At 42.9% G+C, this 27,410-nt stretch overlaps 1 protein-coding gene and 1 long non-coding RNA gene across 3 annotated transcripts in view; one reads left to right on the top strand and one right to left on the bottom strand.

Moving 5' to 3' along the window:
- The first annotated feature begins 396 nt into the window (after positions 1-396).
- LOC101929452 (uncharacterized) lies at positions 397-15,550 on the top strand. The gene is made up of 3 exons (NR_110252.1): positions 397-573; positions 1,231-1,395; positions 15,363-15,550. It is a non-coding gene; the product is annotated as an uncharacterized LOC101929452 (long non-coding RNA).
- RNF144A (ring finger protein 144A) overlaps positions 1,910-27,410 on the bottom strand; it is a 158,956-nt gene continuing 133,455 nt past the window's right edge. Inside the window, exons 9-10 of one of the 2 annotated variants that reach the window (NM_001349185.2) lie at positions 9,999-10,061; positions 1,910-3,204 (exon numbers count right to left, since the gene is read on the bottom strand). In NM_001349185.2, coding sequence (NP_001336114.1) covers positions 10,002-10,061 — 60 coding nt within the window. In that variant the 3' untranslated portion in view covers positions 1,910-3,204; positions 9,999-10,001. Of the gene's footprint in view, positions 3,205-4,870; positions 5,116-9,998; positions 10,062-27,410 lie in introns of both variants that reach the window. The other variant, NM_001349181.2, reaches the window with a different exon arrangement.

The raw sequence follows: 27,410 nt of genomic DNA, 5'->3' as shown, positions 1-27,410 counted from the left end.
GAAATTGCTTCGCACAATAGGTGCCACCTAGAAGGTCTTCAGTAGAGAGTTGCTCCTAGTTTTTACTACAATGGGCCGTTCTAGTATTTGCTGGAGAGTACAGAGAGCAGGTGGGGGTGCCCGCCGTCCTGTTACAGCAGAGCACTTTTAGCCCTTTCACAGGAGAGTCATTGGGAAACAGGACTGCAAGAGCGAGAAAATTCCAAGTATGTGTCATCGCTCTGTTGCCTCGTGCAGCTGTTTCCGTAGGGATACAATGGTGTTGTGTTGTTAAGGAAACTTGCTGTCAAGCAGCAACGCAAATAAAGCATTTAGTTTTATTAAGTCATATTACAATAATTATGGAAAATAATGGGCCCCAGATGTAATTTATTCAGTGGGGAAGGACAACCCCCTAGCTGTCCAATGGCTCCTGGAGCCAGAGAGATGGCACCCAGCATGCTGCAGTCTAGCCTCTCCCACTGACCACCTGAGCCTGCTGAAGCTGGCTTATATAAGGCTTTGGAAAGAGAAAGGGCTTTGGTGACTCTCTGGAAATCAGGAAAAACTGTTCCAAGATGTGTGTTAGAGAAGGTCAGGATCTCGTGTTTAATAAGCAGTTTTAGGCCTGACTTCTCTAAGGACAGTGTGTATGGGCCTGTTTTCCCCCAGTACATAGGGTCAGAGTCCTGCCAGCAATAGCCAAAACATGGTAGAATCAGTCAAGAGATCTAACAAAAGTGCTCTTGGAGGAAGAACTTCAGAGAAAGAAGCAAATTTTATGCTGAGAAATCATGATTCCACACTCTGGAGTGAGAACTCTAGATAGTTTACTCTGTGGTCACTTACTCGTATTTCTACATAGATGGAAGGTCTCGGCCCTGGAGTTCTGGTCTACCTTTCTGCTCCTTTTTCTCCAAGGAACAGGTGGGGGTTCCTCATAAGTGCCAGGTCATTTCCCAATTAATTTACAAAGTACATTTGTTGGAAAATTGTCTCTGCCTGTAATCACCTTCATTCTTTTGTCTGATCAGTAAATACTTTATCTTTCACGATTCAGTTTAAACATTGGCTCCTCTGGGAAAATTCTGTCCCTCCACCACCATTATACTTACCATAAGAAGCTTATTCTATTATAACTTCTTATTCACAGGGTGATGAAACCATTCAGCATTAGTTTGCATGTCTCTTTATCATTACTATCCTATTGCGTTCTAAGCATTTGCTCACCCATCTTTCTCTGTCTTCTAGACCAGCTTCCGCAGGAATGAACCCAGAAAACAGTCTACAACTATATTTCCAGCACAGGGGCTGGCACACACTGAGTGCTGAACTGAACTGAACAGATGCTGTAAGCAAGAAAGAGTCAAATTTTGCAAGATTTTACTGAGGAGGAAGGCACTACCTCAAAGCCAGGTATTGTATATGAGTTATTCTGCTGTCATAAACCATGACTGGCACTAGCTACAGGCACCCCTGCAGGATGGGCTTCCCCACAGCATGTCCCACAGGACATCCATGGCCAATGAACTGTTGCTAATTCACAATAACTCCTGAGATGTATGTGTTAGGATGGGTGATGCTACAGACCCCCCTGCCTCCCTGCATGAACTGTATACAGGGTTGTATGCACCCACTGGTGTGCCAAGTGGTTCAGAAACTGACTTATGAACTAACTGGGAGTTATTCTTCTGATAATTGCTTACCTTGTGCTACTTTAAATTTTCTCTAATAATATTCAGGAGGACTTAGTATAACCACACTAATGGGGTTTCAAAAGGTTTTGTTTCATCTCCACAGTCTAGCTGAAATAGCATCCTATTGATTGGCAATATGTACCAGGAATCTTTAAAGTGTTTTTGGTCCCCTTTGAACCATCTATTCGCTTTCCGTGAAACTCCTAAGGTAGCAATCAGGCTAGCAAAAAATATAGTGTGGCAACAGAATCATTTATAATCCAAAAATGGGAAAACAACCAAGCTATATTTACAAATAATTTCTAGTAAAGTAAGAAATTGCAGTATCATTTTAGTACAAAATAGAAATCAATTATATTGACAATGAATTTCTTATACAGTAACACATATTTAATATTAGAAAAAAACTGTCAACCACACAGGCCATCTTCCCCTCAGCAAGCCCTAGGGAAAGGGCTTGGAGTTTTAAGCATGGACATCCAGGAAACTGCTCCATGTGCATACAGAAACACAGGGAGGCTCAATGCAGCATTGATTTTGCAATTAAGAAAAATTAGAAACAAATGTTCATCAAAACAGCATGATGCAATAATTATAGTTATTCACAACATACACAATAAGGAGCAGAGATTTTTCAAACTTTTTTGACCACAAAGTACAGTAAGAAACACATTTTACAGGGTGAACCAGTAATGGCAGATTACGCTTTCCAAGGAGGCCTCAACAATATGACCTGTTTCACATGTCCCCCCTTCCCCTTAGACTTGAGCAACCTTTGCAACTGGCTTGGTCAGTAGCATATAGTGGAAGTGATGCCATGTGTCTTTCAAGGCTGAATGTCTTAATCCATTTTCTGTTGCCATATAGAACACCTGAGACTGGGTAATTTATAAAAAATAGAGGTAATTTTACTCACAGTTCTGGAGGCTGAAAAGTCCAAGATCAGGTGGCTGCATCTGGTGAGAACCTTTCTGCTTTGTCATGACACGGCAGGAGGCATCAAATCACTAAAAAAGCAAATGTGCTATCTAAGGTCTTTCTTCCTCTTCTTATAAAGCCACCAGTTGCATCATGAGGGCCCTGATGACCTTATCTATTTCTAATTGCCTCTTTAAAACCCCACTTCCAAACACCATCAACATATAAATTTAGAGATTTAGAGATTAAGTTTCCAACACACGAAATTTTGGGAGAGATGTTCAATCCATAGCACTGTGTCATAAAAATGCTAACACTTTAGCCTTATTCACCTGGAGCCCATCATGCTGGGAGGAAGCTCAAACTGGCCCATGAGAAGAGAACACTGTGTGGGGGGGGGGATGTTCCAGCTGATAGCCCAGCTGAGGCCCCAGCTGCCATTAATCATGAGATAGAAATAAAGATGCCTCCTGATGATTCTGGTGGGAGAGTGGGGTAGAAGAGGAAAGATGTCTTCCCAACATTTTATTATTCCCATCTGGGGCTGCAGATGTCATGGAGCAGAGGTGAGCCATCCACCATCCACACTGTGCCTTGCCCAACTTCTAATCTGTAGAATCCATGGGTATAAAAAAAGTTTTGGGAAGGTTAGTAGCAATTGTACCTGGAATGCAAGTATTTGCAACAGAAATAAAACTTTTACTAATAATTCTTACACTTAAAAATTTTCAAGTCATGCTATAGAAAAAAATTGAGAACCTCCTCTTCCATGTCATTCTTTGATCACTCAATCCCATCTCGTTCAAATAAATTCTAAAGATACAGGGATTCCTTCCTTCCCCCCCTCCTTCTTTCTTCCCTTCTCTCCTTCCTTTCTTCCATCCTTTTTTCCTTCCTTCCTTCCTTTTTTTCTTCCTTTCTCTTCTTCCACCTAGAAATACTCATTGTTCACCTCCTATGTTTCAGGTACTCTGCTCAGTGTGGGGACTCTAGGAGTGACATAGACACAGATGTTTCTTCCCCACAAAGCTTATAACCCAGATGAAAGGACAGACATATGAGTTTTAACTAACTTAATTCTTTATACAATAAAGAGGAGTACTAAGTGCATAGATCTTTTAAGGGCCCAGGAAAATATTTAAGACAACTACAACAAATTATTGACAACACAAAATTTTTAAAAGCTGTAAGTACAATTGAATGTTTTTTCAAATATCTACAAAAATAACATGTGTCAACTAGAAATCCATAACTTAATTTGCATGATTGTATATTAAGATTACATTTGGTATGGGCTATGGTTGCACTTACGTACGCTTGCTAGGGTGTAGGGTGGAGTTATATATAGCAGGTGTGTCAATAGGCTGGAAGGTGGGTAAATGGGTGGGTGGGTAGGCAGGCCCAGAACGAGCACAGTTTTTATCATGCCCTGGTGGTAAGTGTTATGAGAGGAAAGCTCTGGTGCCTGGAAATCCACTGACTTTTGTTTATGTGACACAAGCTGCCAAATTCCTGAAAACCAGGAACATACAACAGAGTCATTGTGATTTAATGTGTTTCATGTGTCCTCTGTGCAAGGCATTGATATGGGCTCTGGAGAGTATTAGGCAGAATCACTCCTGCCCTCTGGAACTTGCAGTCTTATCTTGAGGATAGGGCAAGGGCTCTGTTCTAAAGTAACAGGATAGTCAAGTAAGGGGGATGATAAACGAACACACGCTGCTCTGTGAGAGTTAAAGGATGTGAGAACAAGAGAACTGGGGAATATGCTCAAAAAAGAGCTGATATTTGAAGTGGGCCTCCCCTATGCCCTTGCAGGCTGCACAGACCAGATGGAGGGCCTGGGTTGAAGAGCTAGCAGAATATTCTGAATTCACAGTGGTGTGACCCTACAAGGACCAATTTATATCTTCACCTCATGTATGGATTAAATAAGATGTAAGGATTAAATAAGTTCACACATGGGATGTGCTTAGAACAGCGTCTGGCATAGCGTACGTGCTTAACAACAGCTTGTTATAATCTTTACTTTTCACTGAAATAACAACGGTTATTTAACACAGTCAATGGCCAGGCATCGGGTTCCTCCACTTGCATAGGCTAAGATTGCCAGACATGAAGACACCTCATTATCTCCAGGGGTGACTTTGAGTTAACTTAAAAAATGATTCATTCCTTATTACCCATTCCTTAGGACTTTCTACTGCCCTCTTTCAGAAAATTATCATATATGTGTAAATCTATGATAAATATGAATATGAATCACATGTTCTGACCTCATGTTGGCCTTCATACAAATATGAACATCACATCATTTCTGCCCTCCAGAGCCAATACTCAATTCCGGGGAGTGATAGACACATTTGTAATCCTGCATCAGAAAGTACAAAGCGGAGTGGTTTCCCAACAGCCAAACGTGGGGTGAGGAGGAGACTGAGAAAGGCTTCCCACAGGGGCTACTGCATGAGCTGGGTCTTGAAGGAGGAGTAGACCTTCCCAGGGATGGAGACAGGGTGGATCCCTAGGAAAGGAAACAAGCCAGGTAAGGGCCTGAGTGGCGACAGGGTTCTTTGGGGAACTCAAAGTTGTCCGGTACGGCCAGGGTAGATGGGGTGGATCATAGACAGGTGAGGCTGGAGAAGTGGTGTAGAGTTCCAAGGAGTCTCATGGTATGTATGGGACAGAGTGAAGTTCAAGGACAGGAAGGACAGGAAGCCATGAGGAGTGTAAGGCTGCAGATTCCAGATCAGATGCTAGTTCATTCTGGCCCATGACCCTGGCTTCAGCTCAGCCCATTTGAGGTAAACACTTGGATTCCAGTCAAGGAAATGCCTTTCTGGTCTTTCTGATTTTCTAGATTTTCTAGAATGTCTTCAAAATCCTGATCAATGAGCACATGTCCCAAAGTTGGTTCATGCATTCATTCACTCATTCCACAAATATCTATTGTTTGCTTTGTACCTGACACCACTAAGCTCTAAGACTCAGTGATGGAGACGTTGCCATTGCCTTCAAACAGACACTAACTGGGGCGAGACAGGTAAATAAATCAGTAATATTCTGTGGCAGGATAAGTGAGAAAATAAAACAATATGCTCTGAAAAATGGAATGGGGTAGGAAGAGGAGAGACAGATGGCAGAAAAATTGAAGGAGGCCTTTTATAGAAGTGCATCCATTTCCTGAGGTTCCTGTGGGATTCTACAAGCCTGACAGGCAGTTCTTGATCAAGCTCTGGCTTCTCTTTGCTTAACAGTTCTTCCCTCCATTCATCTGTAAGCAGCAAAGAGAAACCAGGCCATACCTTCCACACTTTGCTTTGAAATTTCCTCTGTTAAACATCTGAGTCCATTGTTTACAAGTTCTACTTTCCACACACAGAAGGATGTGATTGAGCTAACCCTTCTGCCATTCTATAGCAAAAATCATCTGTGCCCTCACTAGTAGCACCTGTAGCTTCCAAAGTCTACCAACACTCTGCTCAAGGCAATCTGGGCTTTGTCTAGCATGTGGCTAAACATTTACCCAGCCTCTGCTCATTGCCCAATGCCAAAGCTACTTCCCCATTTTTAGGCATTTGTTACAGCAGCATCGAGCTACTATCATCCTACTTCCTACTGTCACTGAGCAGAATGACATGACAAAAAAGTCAGTAGGAACTGGCTTAGGCAACGTGGGGGATTGCCTAGGCAAATCCAAAATCCTTAGGGTGGGCTGGAGCCTGTCGAGTAGGAGCAGACACTGGAGTTCCAGGAGGAATTTCTTCCTTAGGAGAACTTCCCCTCTTTCTTCTTTTAAGGCCTTCAAGTGAAGTGGACCAAGCCTACCCAGAATATCAAAGATGGTCTTCTTCATTTAAAGCAAACTGGTGGTAAATGTTAAATCACATCTACAAAATAGCTACAGAGCAACACCTAGATGACTGTTTTGTTGAGTGACTGGAGACCCTAGCCTCGCCACATTGACATACAACACTATCACCAGAAGGGAATCCATTCAGCATCCCAAACCTTAAGAAGCACAGTGTAGGGAGGAGATTTATCTTGTAATTAGTAAATGCCAGGCCTCCTTCTTATACTTTACCCACAATGGTATTTACCTGTAATCATCACACAAATGTGATCACATAGGTGCTGCAATGAAACTGGAATTGAGAAATTGAGCCAAATGTAAATAACTCAGGCCAAGTCACACGGCTGGGAAGTAGTGAGGCTGTGATGTGAAATTACACTGTCTGACTACAATGTTTTTGCCCTAAGACCTTGTCCAAAGAAGGAGCGTGCTGCTGGCCCATGCTTTGTCCCTGACCATCAAGCACATAAGGAACTCTGCAGTGCCTCCCATGCTAGGGAAATCCAAGCCACTGCCCATTGCGTTTCTGCCTAACCACACATCTGCAGCTGGCTCTGTGTCAGTTTCCCAGGGCTTCTGTAAAAAAGTCACAGCAAAGGCCAGGCACGGTGGCTCATGCCTGTAATCCCTGCACTTTGGGAGGCCGAGGAGGGTGGAGCACATGAGGTCAGGAGTTCGAGGCCAGCCTGGCCAACATGGTGAAACTCTGTCTCTACTAAAAATACAAAAAATTAGCCTGGCATGGTGGCACGCTCCTGTAATCCCAGCTACTTGGGAGGCTGAGGCAGGAGAATCGCTTGAACCTGGGAGATGGAGGTTGTAGTGATCTGAGATCATGCCACTGCACTCCAACTTGGGTGACAGAGTGAGACTCCATCTCAAAAAAAAAAAAAAAAAAAACTCAGCAAAGCAATCTCAAAACAATAGAAATGTATTGGCACACAGTTCTGGAGGCTGGAAGTCCAGGGTCAGGGTGTTCCTCAGGGCAGCACTCCTGAAACTGCTCAGAATCTTTCTTGGCTTCTCCCTAGCTTCTGGTGGTTGTTGGCAATCGCGGAACTTTTTTGGCTTGTGGCACATGACTTCAATTGTTACCTCCTCCATCGTATGGCGTGCTCTCAGTGCATCTCTGTTTTTACATAGCACTTGCCTCTGGGTGTATGTGTCCAGATCTCCCTAATGTTATAAAGACAGCGGTCATTGGATTAATGGCCTTTCTAATCCAGTATAACCTCATCCTAACTTGATTATATCTGCAAACACTCTCTATTTCCAAATAAGGTTACATTCACATGTACTGGGAGGGGGGACTTCAACATAACTTTTGGAGGGAAACAATTTAATCCCCAACAGGCTCATACTAGTAGTAGAAAGCTAGCCTCTTCAAAGCAGTCACAGTGTTTTCCTTTGACCTCATGCTGTTCTTTATACAAAAAGCTCCATTTCTCAGACTGGGCAACATGGCAAAACCCCTTCTCTACAAAAAATACAAAAATTGGCTGGGTGTGGTGGCACAAGCCTGTAGTCACAGCTACTCGGGAGGCTGAGATGGGAGGATTACCTGGGTCCAGAGAGGTCAAACCTACAGTAAGCTGTGATAGCACCACTGTACTATAGACTGGGTAACAGAGTCAAACCCTGTCTCAAAAAGATTAAAAAATAAAGAGAGAGAGAGAAGAAAAGCTCCATTTTACTAATTCTGCTGAATGTGGCCTTTGGAGTTTTATTTTTCTAGAAGTCTCCTACAGTCTCAAAGTTCAGTCTGGTTAATATTGGGACATCCCTGATAGTTGGAAGACACTGTGAACCTTCTCATCCATGTGCCACATTTAGATTGAGAGATAATTGTGTCTTCGTGTTAGCACTTCCATGCACGCAAAAAGACAGCTCAAAACCTTGAAAAGTTCAAGCAGGAGAGCTGTTGACAACACATTGAAAGTTAAGCTGTTCCTTGTCATTATAAACAAACTTTTTAACTATTTCACCAAGTTAATCTCTAGGGTGTTAAGATACTTCTAGTTAGAACTTGTGTCTTTACCACCTTATTGAGGGCTTTTTACACAAGCTTCTCTAATATAGGCCTGAGCCTGAGTTCTCATCTCCCTGAACTCAAATTACCTGTGCTCAACTCTCCAAAATTTGGGAGGGAATAAAACATAAGTGATTACCTTGTGTTTATTTACAAATGGATAAGATTCATTAAAAAGTGTTGTATTTTAAGCTGCCCGAATAAGAACAAAAGAGGCAGAGAGAAGATGAAAGAGAAGGAGTGGGAAAGATGGGAATATGAATGAGAGGGAGCAAGTGATACAGAAATCAACAACAACAAAGAGACAGGGGATGGAAAGACAGAATGTGAAGGAAATGAAGGTATTGAAGCCACTCAGAAGGGAAAATAGGCAATGCTGGAATGATGTTATGAGAAAAATAATGCCTGGCAGAAAAACTTCCAACCAGATAGCCCTCTGGTGCTCAAGCTTGTTCTCAAAATAGGATTAATTTGTTGCTAAAAATTAAGAGAGAAATCTGTTGGCCACACAGATGAAACAGCCAGTCCCAGCCAGCACTGGAGGCTGTGGCACGGTCCTCCTGGTCATGCAGGAGACAGTGGGAGGCAATGGGAGGGTGGCCAGAGCCTCTACATTTGATGTGCTGAGTTAGCCTCCCACACAGCTATCCCCAACTCAACACCTACCAGGTGCATCTGGACAAGCCCCATGTGAAATCACAGGCTTTGGAGGCTGACTGTGCTGATTGGCTTCCTTGCTGGGCTACTATTGACTTAGGGCAAGTTACTTTCTCAGTTTCCAGGTTCCTCAGCTGTGAAACACAGACAAAAGCTACCTTTCAGGATTGCTGTGAAGATAAGGCACTGTAATAATCTGTGAAAACACACTCACCTCGGAGGCTGGAACCCAGGAGGTGCCAGGCAGCCTCTACTTAGGTGTGTGTGTGGTGACTTCAGCATATGGGACAATGATACTCAGGTCTATGCAAGCCCCTTGGGTCCTAGACTCGTAATGGCCATCTCCACATTATCTGTGACTTTGCTTTGATGGCATCCTCCAAGATCATTCTCTCTTAGAACTTGAAATCTCAGTCCCCGTCTCTATCTGCCATCTCTCATTGTTCTACTTCTGTTTCCTCACTCATACCCAGCTGCTTCCGTTATGCTCAGCAAAACCCCCAGCCCTTGGGCTGGCATCTTCAGCCTGGCTTTTGTCTGACTCGGATTCGCCAGTGCAGTCTGACATTTTGAAATGCTCTTCCTCTCCTCTGATGTCCTCAACCTGGATGAACATATCAATGCTCAAAATCACTGCTATCACCCTCTCTTTCTGCTTCTTCTGCTTATTGTTTCTGTTAGCAGCACCATCCTCTCGGCCAGAGGGATCTGAAGCTCAACCCACTCTTGATTCTTCTTTCTTCTATAATGCCCAAAAGCCAATCATTAGATCCTACCACCATTTTCACTATAAAGTTTCACGGTGCCACTACCCAAATGAATTACTCTGTATTAATCTTATCTTTAAAATGTGTTATAAACAACCCACCTCTTACAGATGACACTCAGATTCAGTATTATGGAGAATGCATTTCTCTAAGATGGCATCACCCTGTTAAAGAAAACCTTACTCACTGATACTTGTTAAAGCACAGAAAAGCTTACTCAATGATACTTGTGTAAATCACATCACAATAGAGGGACCACTGCAAAGGGATTTTGCAACAGGGAAGAGAGATTGAGCCCAACTCGGAGCACAGCACTGGTAAGTGGGAATTTATATCCAAGGAGCAGGGTGGGGACCACTAGATAGAAAATTACTAAGAGGAGATATCGGGGTGAGGGTGCAGGGATTCTGGCTACAGAAATCTAACAGGATTCTTGCTGAAAACAGGCCAGGTGATCAGACATCACCTGGGGATGATGGACAATGAGAAACTTGGTCATATATTGAAAATACTGAGTCAGATATCAAGGGTGGGGGAGTTCTTGATAAACTGACTTAGCAGCGTTCTTAGCCCAAAATGGACTTTACAAGGAAGTACACAGGTAGACATAGGAGAAGCTTCAGGTGACTGGCTACAGTTTGGCCAAGCAAGGAGTTTTTGTTAGTCCTTCCTCTTGTTCAAGGAAAGGAGAGACATTCTTCTTTCTTTTGAACGCTGTAACTCCATTTTCTCATGTGGTCACCTTTTGTTCACTAAGAACCCACTGAGTCACCTGTTGGGACTTGATAGTTCCAACATACTGGATGGTGCAAGCAGTCAGGCATTTAATGAGGGGATTTTTTTAATAGTCGGAAACTCAGTTTCTGAGCCCAGAGGGCAGCCAATCAAAAAGATTTCTAAACACTGAGCTTGAAGCCTCTTCAAGTGGTGTGGGAGCAGGCAGTGGCAAGTTGATAGACCTTCCTGGTTTTCAGTTTTAACACCACGAAGGTTGTCTACCCCTGAGCTATTGTGGTGATCTCTCTGATGTCTGTATCAAGTCCTCCAGCTTCAGCTTTTGGGGCTCCAGGAAAGGAGCAGTTTTAATTTTAATGACTCCAAGTCAGAAGGGTTGGAGAAAATTGGAAATATTAGTCTGGAGTGTGGTTGCCAGATTTTGGAGGAAGCTTGGAGAATTCAGGATCCAGTCCAGTGTGTAGACAAATCAGAAAACCACAAAAACAATGAGCAAGGCTAAAATTCAATAAGAGGTGTGCTATAGTTTTCTTCTGAAACATAATTTCTCTCTCTCCATTTACCCCCATTCCTACCAAAAATAAGCAAAGACTGATTTGCTTGCAAAATAAGTTTAGTCTCATTAACTTGGCCTGATTATTTATATAAACGCAGCAAAAATAATGATTGACCACCTAGGCTCTTTTTGAGTTTGCTTTCCTGGAACTTTTAGGGGAATCTCAGACTAAACAGTTAAAAGCCTTTTAAAACTAGAAAGCGAAGCCAAGGACTTGCTCTCAGGCTGTTTCTGAAATACTTAGGGATTTGAGTGAATATCCCTTTTATAGGTCTCCAAAATATCCTGGGGTTCCTAGGCCTGCCAGGAAGTGACACTCTTTATTCACCCGGAAGAAAACTATGTAAGTGAACCAAGTATGCAACACAACATGGCGATAATTTTTTTCCAAGAGGCTTTATTGACTCCATAAAGTCAACCTTAGTTTCTTAAAGTCGTCATATCTGAAGATACAACATTCCAGTTAAGGCCTTCATAATATATCCAGTGTTTTCAATTGTGTACTGTTACAAGGAAAACATATTCTTACTGCACATATGCAAATAACTACATTATCATAAAATAAAAATGTTTACTAATAGTTTTCTAATTCCAGAGGGATCGGGTAGGAGGCAAAAGTAATTATTTCTTCTTTATTCACAAAGAAATACATTACCAAATTGTTCTAAGCTATAGATAGCTTAAGATAAAAGAGAAAAACTTGACCGGGCATGGTGGCTGACGCCTGTAATCCCAGCACTTTGGGAGGCTGAGGTGGGCAGATCACGAGGTCAGGAGATCAAGACCATCCTGGCTAACACGGTGAAACCCCGTCTCTGCTAAAAATACAAAAAATTAGCTGGGCGTGATAGTGGGCGCCTGTAGTCCCAGCTACTCGGGAGGCTGAGGCAGGAGAATGGCGTAAACCCAGGAGGCGGAGCTTGTAGTGAGCCGAGATCCGGCCACTGAACTCCAGCCTGGGCAACAGAGTGAGACTCCGTCTCAAAAAGAAAAAAAGAAAAAAAAAAAAGAGAGAAAAACTTTTCTTAAATTTGGAAAACAAAACATTAAAGAACCAGCAATGTTTCAAACAAAAAGTCACTAAAATATTGTCCTCATCAGTTCATTCAGTCCCGTGTAATTCTTGTTATTCTTGAGCTTGGGATAGAACTTTCATGAAGCCATCGGTTTCTTTGTTAGAGTTCTGCAAATTCTTACCCAGTCCGCTGGTGTGATCTTAAAGTTTTCAGCAGAAGCCTGTATTTTTAAAGTAACTTTCGTAGTCTTTTCCATGAATATCTTTGAAGAAGAAGCAAGTTTGGACTGTAGCTGATTTCAAATGCTTTCAGAGAAGAACCAAAGTAAAATAATAACTGTCCATAAATAACAAAAGACTTAAAATGGCCATATGGCCATGCTTAAAAATATGAAGAGAGTTCATTATGATAATTATGCAATTGCCAAAGATATTTGGCTATTTCTGTGACATGCATTTTCATATAATTTTAATGGAAAAGACCAAATTCTAGTTCCACACTAGTGTACAATTAATACTAAACCTAATTTTAGTAAAACTTTATAAAAGAATCTATCCAATCTCAGCCAGTTTTGGCAGCAAAAGATAATATTTCTTTTCCAGCATCCTTTTTCCACAAAAGTTTGGCCAAGGAAAGAATCTTTGTCAACCCCATCCCACTTTTGAGGAACCTGCCTCTCTAAAATCTCCCTATCCGCCATGGTCAATATGGAAGCAGTCATTTTATAATAGCTCCAGGCCCTGACTTCAGTTGATGGGGCCAGAGGAAGGCATTTGATAGTTTGTTCCAGGAATCAGAGTTTTTCTCCAGGAATTTGGATTTGGAACCAAGAGATTCCAGTGTTGATCTAAATCCTTTTTGGACAAAAGAAATATAAACTAAAGAACAGTTTTAAGAAGAATAATTGTACCTACATCATCAGAATGTTTTAAGAATTACATAAGTCAACACGTGGAAAATGCTCAGAGTGGTACCTAGCACATAGCAGACAACCTATAAACATTAGCTAGAATTATCACTGCACTATTATTGTAGGCTCACTTTATCACAGAGCTGTCTCAGAATGTAGATTGTCACAGAAAGTTTTATTTATCTATGATGGCCAGAAAAGATCTACTACTGCCCCGAGTTCTCAGGGCTTGGTGATTTAATCTGATGCAAGTGACTTGAAGGGGTTCTGCCTACCTGGCCACCTCCAGGTCTGTCTTCAGGGCTGCTTAGAACTTTCTGGGATCCATGTGAATATTCCTTTCATCCTCAATTACAATTTATAGAAAGCTGAGATCTGTTTATTCATGTGTCAAGGCGAAGCTCAAATACCACCTTTTATCCTTCCCTACCTCTGGACAACTTCAGTCTCCCCTTTTCCCATCCTCCTGAAAGTCTATCAAAGTCATTACCAGAATCTTCCTTAATCTACAGCCTGTGTTGGTCCGTGCTCATTGTTCATTTCCCTCCATGACTGAAACCACAGAACTCTTCCCTTTACTTCAGTGAGGTTCTGAAAGCCTTGAGACAGAAACTCCTTAACTTTCCTTTGGCACTGCCTACTAGTTCACCTGTCCCTCCTTGGGTTAGCCTCCCCGTGGAGTCACAATAGAAGAGTTCTCCTCTTCCTGAAGCCCCCTCACTCCAAGATATCCCCTGCTTATTCTTGGTTCCTTATTATCAGCATTTAAATGCTCTTAAATCTCTTTCACCTTATTTTTTTAAAAATAAGTTTTCCTCTTTGGTAGTGCTTTTTCTCCATTTCATCATTCAAACATCTTCAAAGCATGTTTGGCAAATCCTGCCTCCTAGACTCTTGTTTTCTCCTTTCTCATCTGCTATGATTTTAATGTGTCTTCCAAAAGTTCATGCACAGGAAACCTAATCCACAATGCAATGCAACAGTGTTGAGATGTGGGGCCTAATTAGAGGTGCTTAGGTTATGAGGGCAAAACCCTCATAAACTAATTAATATTGTTATTGTGGAAGCAGGTTAGTTATCACAAGCCTGGTTTGTTTATAAAGCCAGTCCAGCCCCTGTGGTGTCTCTCTGTCTCATGTACTCACATTTCACTTCTGCCTTCCACTTTCCACCATGGGTACCCTCAACAGATGCTGGTGCCACGCTCTTGGACTTCCCAGCCCCCGGAACCATAAGCTAAATAAACTTTTCTTAATAAATTATCCACTATGTGGTATTCTATTATAGCAACAGAAAATGGACTAAGGCATATTTTATGAAGCATAATTTGTCAACACCACTAACGATCTCCTTATTGCCACTGGTAGTGGGTACTTTCAGAAAGATCTTGAATTATCTGGAGCATTAGACGTTAGAACATTTCTTCCTTTTTGCAACGTTTTGCTCTCTACTCCCATTTTTTCCCTCCACTGCTTGGGCCACTTCTGAGTGTACCTTCTGTGGCTGCTCTTTTTTTGCCCATCCTTTAATGTTGGTCAGCTGCCTTGAGCCTCTTCTCCTTTGGTATAACTCTCTCTCTCAAACACCCCTTTGACTCCCATATCCTTATTTCTGTTCATCTTTAGCACAACGGCTCTAAAATTAAGGTCCCACCCTAATTACTTTCCTAAGCTTTGTTCTCTTATATTTACCTGATCTTTGGACATTTCCACTGAGTTCCAAGTGTGCAAATCAAGCTCGACCTGTCTGTAAACTAAACCCATAATCACTCCCATCTAACTCTTCCTCCTGTATCAACCATCCCCTGGAAGCTGTGAACATTCATCCAGGGTCTGGAGACAAAATCCAGAGAGCTGCTTATTTCTCCCCGTAAACTCCAAATCTCTACACAAAAGCAACTTCCAAAGTCTATTCTGTAAGCATCTCTTAAATATGTCCTCTTTTCTTCAAACAAACTGCCAGGACTGTGGTTAGGAGCCTTTTCTTCAAACAAACTGCCAAGGCTGTGTTAGGAGCTTCATAATTTCTTACCTGGATTACCACCACATCTAGGTTTTGCCCTCTAATCCAGTGTTAGCATTCAGACTAGGTGTCCTCCTCCCCAGCTGCAATGTTGATCATGCCTCTCACCTGCCTAAAGCTTAGCCTCTGGATAACTGTCAAACATTTTTTTTCCTCAGTACTCAGGTCAAAAATATTTCTAATAAATTTTTATTGTTTTGTCTTCTTACTGTATGTTTTGTTCCAGCAAAAGAAGAGTTTCTAGAGAAAGGAGAGGATTGATGGGTTCACTGGTGCTCACTGGAAACTATCAAATTTGTAATGTGAGCATCCCAACATGCAGAGGAACCAGAAGTTCAATATTTGAGCTGATTAAGGATCAATCAGCCAGTTCCCTGGGCAGGGGAGAGACTCTGCTTCCACATTATCAGGGACTCAGAGAAGCTGGATAAACGTCTCTGCTTTCTTTCCTCTGGTCCATCCTGCTCCAGTATCAGTGGTGAGCAAACTTTATCTGGCTCTCTTCCTTCACTGTCTATTATCAATTTATTTTACCTTGGGGCTGTAATGTCCCTGCTACTATAATGCAATGTCTTTTGTGACCTTTCTCTATTGATATTGAAGGCCCTCTTTCTATTTCTTTCTTTTTTTTTTTTTTTTTTTTAGCACCCAGCACTATTTCTCAAAACACATCTGTACTTGATTACATGACCTCCGTTATTCATAACCTTTGCAATGGGTCTTTGCAGGAACTCCCAGCTAGAGGAAGAATGTACTTCATTTTTAACTCTGTACCAGTCTTGAGATTTCCTTTGGCAAAAAGCAAAAACAAAAACACGACCACCACCAACACAAAACTCAGCAGAATTAAGATGTAAGTTTCAAGCCCAGACCTCAAGAGACCATGCATTTTTCTGCTCTTTCTCGTACCTCTGCTCAGGCTGCACTGAAGACAATTCCTGCCAAACCTAATTAGAAACTGCATGAAACAGAGCCAAATTAGTCCAATTGTTCCAGCCAAAGCTCAAGACACAGTGAGCGCCCAGCCTCAATCAGCAGAACCAGGTTCCCAGCCCACCCCGAGCTGGTCACAGGTGGCTGAGTTATCTCTGCTGAGATTAGAACTGCCCAGGTCACCACTCAACTCAGGGACAATAACAAATGCTCAGTGTTTTAAGCAACTGGATTTTGGAATGATGAGTTACTTATCAATAACAAACTCACACATCATCTCTTACCTCTTTTCTGTGTATCAGAGTAAAATGGGAAAAATGCTCTCATATATTATTTACAATACATACAATATATTATAGGTAATGTCTATCATATAATATATCTAAAGAACATAATAAGCACTCAACAAAGTATTCATCCCTCCTTATATTATCCTCTAAAAACTATTTCTCATTCTTGTGTTGAGTAATTTAAAAAGCAATGCCATCGTTACCAAAGTAAATGTAAGATGTAGTTCTAGGCCTCAGCATTCAGCCTAAATCATAGGCCCTAAAGAGTGGTGTGCAATTCTGACAGCAGAAGACTTGCCTAAGCCCTATTTTTAAGCTGGCTGCTTGTGATGGAAACATGGCCCGTAGAAATGTGTGCAGATAGACACGGGAAATAAGCAAATCTTTGAGAAAGCCTTAGCTGAGATTATTTTGCTCATCTTGGAATTAAAAAAAACATCATCACCCTTGCCATGTGACTTGGCTCCTCCATTTTCCCTCAGAATATGATTAATTGCTCTCTAAATAATAAAAGTCTTCCAGGAACAATAGAAAATATCTACTATGGAACATTCATAAATATTCAGCTGAAGCCTGGTGGGAATGCTAGGCTCCCATGAGAGCTCTGTGCTGACATTGGAAGTCAGAAACCAACTCGGAGACATAAAACTGTGCAGTAAAAATATTTACACAAATGAGTTTGGGGTGAGTTGTCAGAGTGCCATGTTCCTCTTTTGCCTGGACGTCGGGAATTAATTTGGACCTGATGGTGAAGCTCAGGTCTGAAATCATAGCAGCTTTTTTATATCCATGGACAGCTCACATAAATGTCAGGGGTGAGCAGAGTAGAAACACTTGGGCCACTACCATAGTAGAGCCCAGGGCATCAAAATGTTGCTTTATTTCCCTTTGATTCCATAGGTTCCATCCAGCCTTCTAGAAATCATTTGGTGCCACCTACTAGAAACTAGGAAAAACAAACTATTAGACTCAGGTCCCATCTCCTCTCAAGGAAACTACATGCCAAAAAGGAATACATAGGTATTTGCAATTCAACACAAGTGCCGGCATGCTGATCTGACCACATGCTACTAGAGCATAAGAAAAACAAAAGACTGCAGGGGTTGCAGGGGCGATGGGGTCAGGTGGATGACTGCACAGGAAAGGCTCTATGTAAGATGGGGCATCTGAGTGGGTCTCAGAAGAGGTTATAAATTCTTGCAGGTGAGAAGAGAGTAAGGGAATGCTACGCATCTCTGGTGTGGTCTGGGAAACCAAGGGTGACAACGATGTGGTTAGGGACAACGAGCTGGGAACATCAGCCCTAAATCTGGAATGGAAATTTGGGGATCCAGAAAGATGCAGTGATCTTTCTCTCCATTTCATTTTTGGTTTATTCTGGCTGAAGTTTTGCCAGGGGGAAAGGTTATAAAGGGCATTGGAATGTTAGTCTGTCTGAATCCTTCAGGATTTGAAGGTAACAAAAGCAAGAACCAGCCCTGCAGGTCATCGTGTGCCTGAAGAAAATGACAGATGGCCACACAGAGGCAACAGACAGCTTGGAACAGCACATGTGCTCTCTTTCCTGCCCCTCTCAGCTCTGGAAATATTTCTGGGAACGCAGAATGCCAGCCTAATCCATCTGGAAACCTTAGATTAGGAAGAAAAAAAAAAACAAAACAGGATCATGTCTTATTTCAACTTTCAAATGTTTTGAGGAAAGTGCCAAGAGAAGGGGCAGAAAGAAGAGAAACAAAGAAGAGAAGTGAGAGGAGGAGATGAAGAAGAAAGAGGAGACACAATTAGTTGAACTATGTTTAGCAGTAGATTCACTCTAGAAGATTCATTCTGATGGCTGAAACTTCCAGAACATGGATAACGTTTCAAGACACTGACATGATGGGGAATATTAATTTGAATGTGCTATTTTCCTATGATAGCATTTTAAGACTGTAAGTATAAACAGCTACACAAACAAGCCCTTATGTGGGTTCAGATGTCCACAACAACATAACTTTATTTTTCTACCTGCAGCGCCACTTTTACTCAAGAGAAGAAAATTAAATTTTAAGTAATTCATATTAAGCAAGCAAATCAAGGATTTTCAGCTGGTTTAGTGATTCTCTCTCACCCTTTCTCCTCTGAGTTGGTGTAAGTTCTCCAGCACCAAAGCACTGAGAAGGAAAGTGCTGGGTTCTCAGTGCTCAGCATCTGTCATCATTAGAGTTTATTGAGATTTCTCCTTAACTGCTGGACTCTGGTTGCTGGCACCTGGACCTTCTGGTGTGGCTTGAGCTATCTGCCTCCAGCTGGTCCCCAAGGTTCTCTCTATACTGGTCACTCTGCATCTTCATCAAAAGTCTCTTCTAAAACATGAAAGCTGACACTTGACTCTTTTGTTTCTCTCTGTATGTTTGATGTAATAACCCTACCAGACAACATGAGCATAGATGCCCTTGCTGCCTGACTCAGGAAGTGGGTGGGAGGGGAACACGGGGCATGGCACAGAACAGGACGTACTGAAAGCTGAAGCCTTTGGTTAATCCTTTACAGTATTATTCTGATACATCCAAAGTAGCATTTATTTTTTTTTGAGGCGGAGTCTCGCTCTGTCACCCAGGCTGGAGTGCAGTGGCATGATCTCAGCTCACTGAAGCTCCACCTCCCAGGTTCATGCCATACTCCTGCCTCAGCCTCCCAAGTAGCTGGGACTACAGGCACCCGCCACCATGCCTGGCTAATTTTTTGTATTTTTAGTAGAGATGGGGTTACACTGTGTTAGCCAGGATGGTCTCGATCTCTTGACCTCATGATCTGCCCGCCTCAGCCTCCCAAAGTGCTGGGATTACAGGTGTGAGCCACGGTGCCCAGCCCATCCACAGTATTTTTTTAAACAGGTTTTTCACCTCACCCTCTCTCAATCCATGTCAAAAAGCTCCCACTCCAAGTTCTTTAAATGCCCCTCTAGATAGACCCGCTATACATACATCCAGGTAACTACCATGACCTGCATACATACAGGTGATGCAGGAGAAGGGGAGCATATCACAGCATACAGGTATACGGTCGGCAAAATGCAAAATGTGGGGTGCTCTGTAGAAAAAAAAACTGTTTAACAAAAACATTGCAAGGACAAAAATAGGAGAAGAAACCTATAGAGTCAAAGAGATTTATATATGTCTACCAACTGCAATATATTCACCTTTATTGGATTCTGATGAAAACCAACCAATATAAAAATCTCTGACATAATAGAGGAGATTTAGACACTAACCAGAGACATGTGATATAAAAAATTGTTAACTCTTTTAGATGGGATATTATTAGAGCTATGTTTAATAAAAAGTTTTTATCCTTTAGAAACACCTAGAGAAATATTTAGAAATTAATCATAGATATCTGATATTTGCCTTAGAATATAAGGACTAGAAAATGAATGGATATAGATGGAGAGTTGATGGCCACAATTTGATGATAGTTATGATGTTCAATTTGTAGAAGTTTTCTATACTATTCTAGATATTTCTATGTTTAAACAATTTTTTTTCCAGAATAAGAAGCTAAAAACATTCTGATAATTACTTTTTTTTTTTTTTTTTTCAGTTCCCCCATACACTTCCTGTGGTTTCACAACCGACTGCCATAGCTCATGTTACCCTCGTGGCTTGGGGCACCCTTTTCTCGATCATTACTTTCCTTCTCTTTCTTCATTTCTGATCTAATTCCTACTTTTTGTTCATGTCTCAGCTCTTGGAGCTGTCCCTAGGTCCTCAGAGTGAGCTCTGTGTTACCCTGGCAGCTATCTCAGGTATCATATTGACTTATCTGTTGCCTGGCACACTGTCAGTACTTACATTAAAAAGAAGATAGTTATCTTTGCCTCTTTCATGTTGTGAGGATTAAATGACATTAAGCACCTGGCACATGTCAGAAGTGCTATATTCATTAACTTCTTCACTTCTACTCCATCGTTTAAACCTGAACATCCCTTCAACACCTAGTTCCAGTTCCTCTTCCTCCAGGAAGCTTCTCAAAATACTACTGCCTCTTTGCTGACTACATTGTGTCCACTAATAAATCTCTGCTTAACATTTGATCCCTGGGCAGATTTCTATGAGAAAATATACCAAGATTTTTTTCAATTTTTATCTATTCACTCCAAGCAATTATGATGATGGTATGGCTATCTAAAATGTATTCAATTTGATGCACAGCAACTAGAATTTGATAATTCCAGGATTGTTAGGCATTGTAAGATCTTAACTCCAATCTCCACATGATGAATGGAACCTCTCTCCTGCATGAAAGGTGAATAGTAGCTTCCTCATCTATTATTCTTATACCATCCAAGAGAGCCATCAGATGGGAGTTACTTTAATATTTGGCAAACTAAAAAAACTTGAGAATCAGAGAAGGGAGTGCATTTCCAAGTGCATCTAGCTAGCAAATGAATTGAGGATGACATCCCAGGTCTCCTGACTGTCTAACATCTTACTGCCTCTGCTACACCCTTGCCAAGGGACTCCCCAATTTCCTCCAGATTAGAAAGTCCTTCCTCATTAAGCTGTCCCTAAACCTTGCATCTGGCATGGAACACAGAGCGCTCACTCAGGAGGTATTTATTGAGCCTCTAAGAGGTACCAGGTGCTGCAATAGAGCTGGGCTAGACTTTACTTAGAAAAACAGGTTAATCATCAATAACTTAGGATCTATTGTAAATAAGTACAATGCAATTCATTGTTTCAATCTGTTGTATAGGGTATATAGAAAGGTCTGTATGGCACAGAGACAGAGCATGACAGCTTTAAACCTCTAATTTTCCACTACTAAAGCTGTATAATAGTCCCCATAAGCATCCCTTCTCACCTCCTGTTGATGTATGGGCAGTTTCTCTGATAAACACCAGACTGGCAGGACCCCCTGGGGGTGAGATCCAGCAGACCCTGGCAAGGAACGTCAGGGTCCTCAGCAGATGGAGGCTCCAAAGAACTAAGAGCCCCAAGGTGAGGGGCTGAAATGCTGTTCCAGGCAGACAGACTGCCGGGGAGTTTTTGGTGCACATATTTAATATTGTCCTCACTGCAATGGAAGCAGGCGCATGAGATACACAAACAAGGAAGCCACAAGGAGATGCCTCCAAAGTAGGTATTGAGGCAAGAGAAGAGAAGGCCACAACTGGGGGGGAGACCATGGAATTTGAATCAAGTGTGGGCCCCAAGGACTGAACAAAATGTGTAGTGGGGATTCCCTAACACAGGGGAGGGAACACTTGAGGGCAGCAGCAGGAAATGCCATTGGGAGGATATTGAAAACCCGAAAAGTGGAATGGGGCCAGTGCTGCAGGAACCATAACTGGAATGACCTAGAAGAGAGTTAAGAGCCAAGATACCCTCAGATTGAGAATGGTGGGTGGGCTGAGGAGGGATGGTTGGTGTGTGGCTGAAGTACTCAAGATAAATCAGTGCATTGACATATGAATTTGGGGGGATGGAGGAATGACACAATTCAGTCTATAACAGTCATAAGTGGCAGAGGAGAGACATGTCCCAAGATAAGGAGGGAGGTTCACAGTTGCCTGAGAAATTGATGGTAGCATGGGAGAAGTTAGGTTGTAAGGGAAGCACAGAGGGCACATCTTACCATGGGTGTGGGATGACAGGAAGCAAGTTCAGTCTGGCATAGAGAGACCTTCGAAGGAGACCAACAGTGAGCATGTCAGAAAGGGTATAGTAAGATCAGAACGGCCACCATGAGGCTTTCCTCCACCTGGCTAGTGCATTTTATAGGCTTCCCAATTTGTAAGAGAACCAAGACCACAGAGAAATAAAGTCATTAACTCTAATGCTAAAATCAGTTTTATGGGTGAGAAATTCCCAGCAAACCACTGGGCTAGGGCTGGGGAAGGAAATAAAGCCTTTACCTAGTCTTCTGACTAGTTACTGGGCAGAGCAGAGGCTCCATAAGGACCCTCACTAGACGTCAGTAGGTTACAGAGTGTGCATGCTCGCCCAGCATCTGGGTAGGAAGGTCTAAACAATGAGAGGAAGCAAGTGACAAGGTAAGTCACTTGCTCTGAGGAAAGTCCTAGAGACCTGCACAGGACAGTGCTAGTTTTGCTCCGTGGATGCTTTTTGTGAACTCCATTCTCCACTGGTAAGAAAAAACCTGGGATTTTCAGTTTAATTCCTGAGAATCAACTTAGAATCATAGGCATGAATGAAATTTGGAACTGTGAATGTTTGGTCTGGGAAAGTGCAGACTTAATAAATGGTACCTGCTGGGGTTTCAGACTCACCTGTGCAGTAGCCTACACAGGAGTGGGTAATGGCTTTGCTTAGACTCTCCTGGCCATGCAAATGGTAAGATATAAACATGCTGGGGAGGTATTTAGGGGTAAAATTGAAAACTTAGTGAAAGATTAGATGTGTGAGTGCTAAAGAGGTCAGTGTCAAGAATGGTTTTGAGAAGGAACAGTGGAGAGGATGGCGGTGTCAGTACTAAGTTATGGAGCTGCAGGGAAGGAGTAGGCTAAAGGTGGTATAATGGTTTCAAACATTAATTTGGGAGCAGGTGTAATTTTAAGAACTTTTGAGACCAAATCAAGATGCAATACTGAGCATGAACCATTCAGTGTGTGAAACTGCAGCTCAGAGAAACAGTTTCAGCTGGGTAGGTTGGGGGCATTGCCTGGAAAAGAAAGCTTACTGAGAAGAGCTACAAGGCTCAGGATTGAATAATTCCATCATTTGCAAAGCTTAGAAGAGAAGAGAAGGCACAAAGCAGGCTGAGAAAAAAATTGCCAGAAAGGTGGGAAGGAAACTGGGAGAGTGAGAGCTACAGGACAGTAAAGGAAGGGAGAGCATTTCAAAGAGGAGGTGCCAGCCTGTCAATGCTGATGAGAAGCCATCAGGAAGAGTAAAGCAACTGCAGGGCATGGTGGCAGAGAAGTCACTAGTGGCTTCAGCAGGAGAGGTTTGGGTGGAACAGTGGTGTAGGAGCTAGGGACAGTGGTTAAAAATCAAATGAGGGGAGCAAGAAACCAATGTGTGTCACTTAGGAAAATTGGTACAGAAGCAAAGTGTCTTAGTCTGCTTGTACGGCTATAACAAAATACCTTAGACTGGGTAATTGATAAGAACAGAAATTTATTTCTGGAGGCTGGGAAGTCCAAGATCAAGGCACTGGCAGGTGTGGTTCTGGTGAGGACAGCTCTCTGCCTCCAAGATGGTGCCCCTTGCTGTGGTCCTCTCATGGTGGAAAAGACGGAAGGCAAAAAGGGCTAGCTACTTCCCTTGAGCCCTTCATACTATCACAGTGAGTCTTATGTCCCAACATATAAATTTGGGGGAAACACATACATTCAGACCGTGGCACAAAGCTTTAGGTACTAGCACCTATGAGGGATTTGGCAACAGATTGGATTTGCCCAATATTTCTCAGACTTTAACTTGCATGACAGAAAAATCCTAGGGTAGCTCTTGTGTCCCATACCCTATATAATTCCCTTACCTGAGTGTGGGCAAGACTTGCAACTTCTCACCAAGGCAAAGATGTCACTCCTATGATTATATATCTCTGTGTATATGTACATATGTATGTATATGTATGTGTGTGCATGTATGATATGAATGTTATGTCCAGGGTAGTGGGTGATGGCTGAAAGAACACTTGCGGGGCCGTAGGCAGGCGAAATGTTGTTTTATTCAGCGGCTGTCTCTCATTAACAGCTCTCTCACACTGTTCTCTCATCAGCTGCTTTCTCACACTGTCTGCCTTGTCTCAGCTGCTTGAGCTGGCCACTCCCACAAGCAACTGCGCAGCTGGCTCTCCCCTGCCTTCAGGGTTAGCAGCAGCCGGCTCTCCCCTGCCTTCAGGGTCAGCAGCTTAGCTGATTCTCTCTGGCCACAAGCACAAGCCATGCCATGCCATGCTGAGCTGTGCACTGGCTCCTGTCTGTCTACAAGATGGACAAGCTCTGCTTCTCTCTCTGGGCACCAGTGCCTGCACAACAGCCATGTCAAGCCATGCCCAAGAGCACCTGTATGGCATCGGCAGGGCAGTTATATCTTTCTCAAATGACAGTGGCTCCCAGCCAAGTATGAGCTTACACAAACAGGTTATATAACAAGTGGAGGTGTGCACCTGTGCACCAATCCTGCTGAGTCTGGCAGGTCTGGGTATCTGCTCAGCCTAATTCTTAACCAAAGCATATCCATGTACCTTACAAATGTATACATATACACAAAAACAAATAGTCCTTTACCTTGCTATCATACACTAGAAATAAATTTTCTTTGCTGATTTGATGAATAAGCATCCATGTTAAGGAAACCCACATGGCATGGAACTGTAGGCAGTCTCCAACACTCAAGGGTGGCCTCCAGATGACAACAAAAAATTGAGATCACAGTCACACAGAATGAAATAAATTCTGCCAACAAATGGAAAGAACTTGAAAACCGATAATTCCCCCATTGAGCCTCCAGATGAAAACACAGCCCAGCTGACATCTTTTTAGCCTTGTGAGACCCTGAGTAGAGAACTCAGACCCATGGAAACTGGGAGATAAACATATTTAAAGGTACTACATTTTTTCTAATTTGTTATACAGTAATAAACAACTAATATAATGTGCATCCTGGTCACCTGGGGATCTTCTGAAAATCCAGGTTCTGACTCGGTCTGAGGTGGGGCTGAGAGTCTACATTTACGACTAATTCTCAGGCAATGCTCATGCTTCTGGTCTAAAACCACATTTTTAGAAACGGTAGATAGATGCCTATTGCGATTCCTTCCAACTCTTATATTATATACCAGCCAGAGAAGAAAATAACATGGGAATCAAATAAAATAATTTATCACCAGTTGCAAATATCTAAACTGACTTTCACAATTTCACTAAGAACTGAAAAATTATGTTGTAGAAGTTTAAACACATATGGAAGTATTTCACAGAAGTCATTTTCAAGAGATACTTAATGCAGTGCAGGAGAAAGAAGACAAATGATGAAATAAATATTGTAAAGCGAAATAAAGGAAACTTCCCAGCTTTGCCTAAATATTACATATGCAAATGGTGTGTGTGTGTGTGTGTGTGTGTTGGAAAGGGGGGCTCCTGTGCAGGAATCCTTCTGTTTCATATACAAGCTGAGCATTTCCAGAGAACAGGAAGGTCCTCGGTAAACGAGTGATTCCCCCCCACCCCATGTTACAACAGAAACCTAAAACATGCTCTCAGCATGGGGGTCACAGCCAGAGTCTTCCCTTCTGAAACACAGGACTGGGGACAGACTGCAAGAGTCCCTGGGGAGCCTGGGTGGATGCATGCATGGGTGAGGCTCAGAACACATTTTCTAAACCACATTGAGCTTCTCTCTTAAAATAATGACCCCTCGCTGCCTCTACAGAGCCCTGTTTCAGAAGAGGCACTAGCCAACACAATGATTCAGTGGAGAGAACCATCCTTGGAGGCCACAGGACAGCTCATATTCTGGCTTCATGGGTCACTAATTTTCATTGTGAGCAGGTGAACTTAACTGAGACTTAGGTTTTCTGATCTATAAAATGGGCACAAAATAATATTTATTTGTAGCACTTTTGTGAGGACTAGAAAATGAAAAGTGCCGGGGCTCCTCATGTTAGATGCTAGGCAGTGAGCTCCCAGGTGGAGTGAAGCACCACAGAAGAAAGGAAAAAGGTTTCTCATCATCTCAGCCTTTTCTCATGTTTGCCACGGCCAGCGTTTTGTTTTTTTTCTGGTTCAGAATCAAGGTGAGGTGATGCCAAGGTATAAACCACCTGCTTTCTGAGTGACACCACGGACTGTTAACTTATGAGTTCCTCTCTCCAGGGCACAGCTACAGAGGCAATAGGGCATTTTGGAGGTATTTATGTTACTTCCAATTAGGCATTCTAATTAAGATGGACTAAGGGAGGAGTAATATGAGTGAGAATTGGGCATACCTGGGTGAGGGTGTCCTTGGGTTATTCTGAATACTGGGGGATTCATTGATACTCTTGGAAGTCAGCACTAAGCTCAGGAAGATCCCATGAGGTTGAAGCAGCCAGACCAGACCGGAGTGGAGCAGCCAGGGCAGAACATCTTCATCTGGGAGCCACACTCTTGGATTCAAGCGATTCTCCTGCCTCAGCCTCCCAAGTAGCTGGGATTACAGGCACCCACCGCCATGCCCAGCTAATTTTTGTATCTTTAGTAGAGATGACATTTCACCATGTTGGCCAGGCTGGTCTCAAACTCCTGATCTCAGGTCATCCACCCGCCTTGGCCTCCCAAAGTGCTGGGATTACAGGCGTGAGCCACTGTGCCTGCCCTCAACTGTCTTTTTACTGATACTTGTTACTTTCCACTCCACAGGCTGGGCATAGACCCCCATCTCCTCTTCGCTGCTCCTTTTGGCGGCTTCCTAACCTCATGTCCTGGCCCTCATCCTCTGCATCCAAGCTCCCCTACATGCAGCTACCGTGGCGTAGGCAAATCCCATATCTTATTGTGTCAGCACCAACCTTAACCTGAAATCCTCCAGCCTGGCTTAAACCTTAAAAAGTGCATCCCCTCTGTCCCTTACCGCTCTACCCCGTCCACCTGCTCCACCTCCAATCCCCTCACCCTACTGGAGCTCAGCTCTGCACTGAAGGTTTGCCAAGCTCTCTTGGGGCGTCTGCGGCTTTACTTGCATGGGTGTGTTTGTGTGGTGGCATTCCCTCCCAATCTGTGCTCTGAGCAACCCCCTGCTCTCTCCATCCCCGACCCCAATTCCGTCTCCTCCAGAAATTTGCTCTGACTTCTCCTGCAGGGGGTGGAGCTCCTCTCTGCTACCACCTGTGGAGTGTGATCATCACCTTCCGGCCTGCCGCACTAGACTGTGATGTCTCCGTGCATTTGCATTGGTCTGTGTGGTGTGGTACCAAGGCACTGATGAAGAAAAGGGAGGATCTAAACTTCAGTCCAAGCCCTGCCAGGAACTAGCTTCAAGACTGCACCCGAGGCATTCTGCCTCACTGAGCTTCTCCTTGTTTATAAATATAGACGGGGTCTGAGTGGTCCTGACAGC

The sequence above is a fragment of the Homo sapiens genome, chromosome 2 (assembly GCF_000001405.40).
Source record: "Homo sapiens chromosome 2, GRCh38.p14 Primary Assembly".
Classification (NCBI taxonomy): Eukaryota; Metazoa; Chordata; class Mammalia; order Primates; family Hominidae; genus Homo; species Homo sapiens.
The sequence above is the reverse complement of the archived record's forward strand: the minus strand, read 5'-3'. Positions and strand labels throughout refer to the sequence as shown.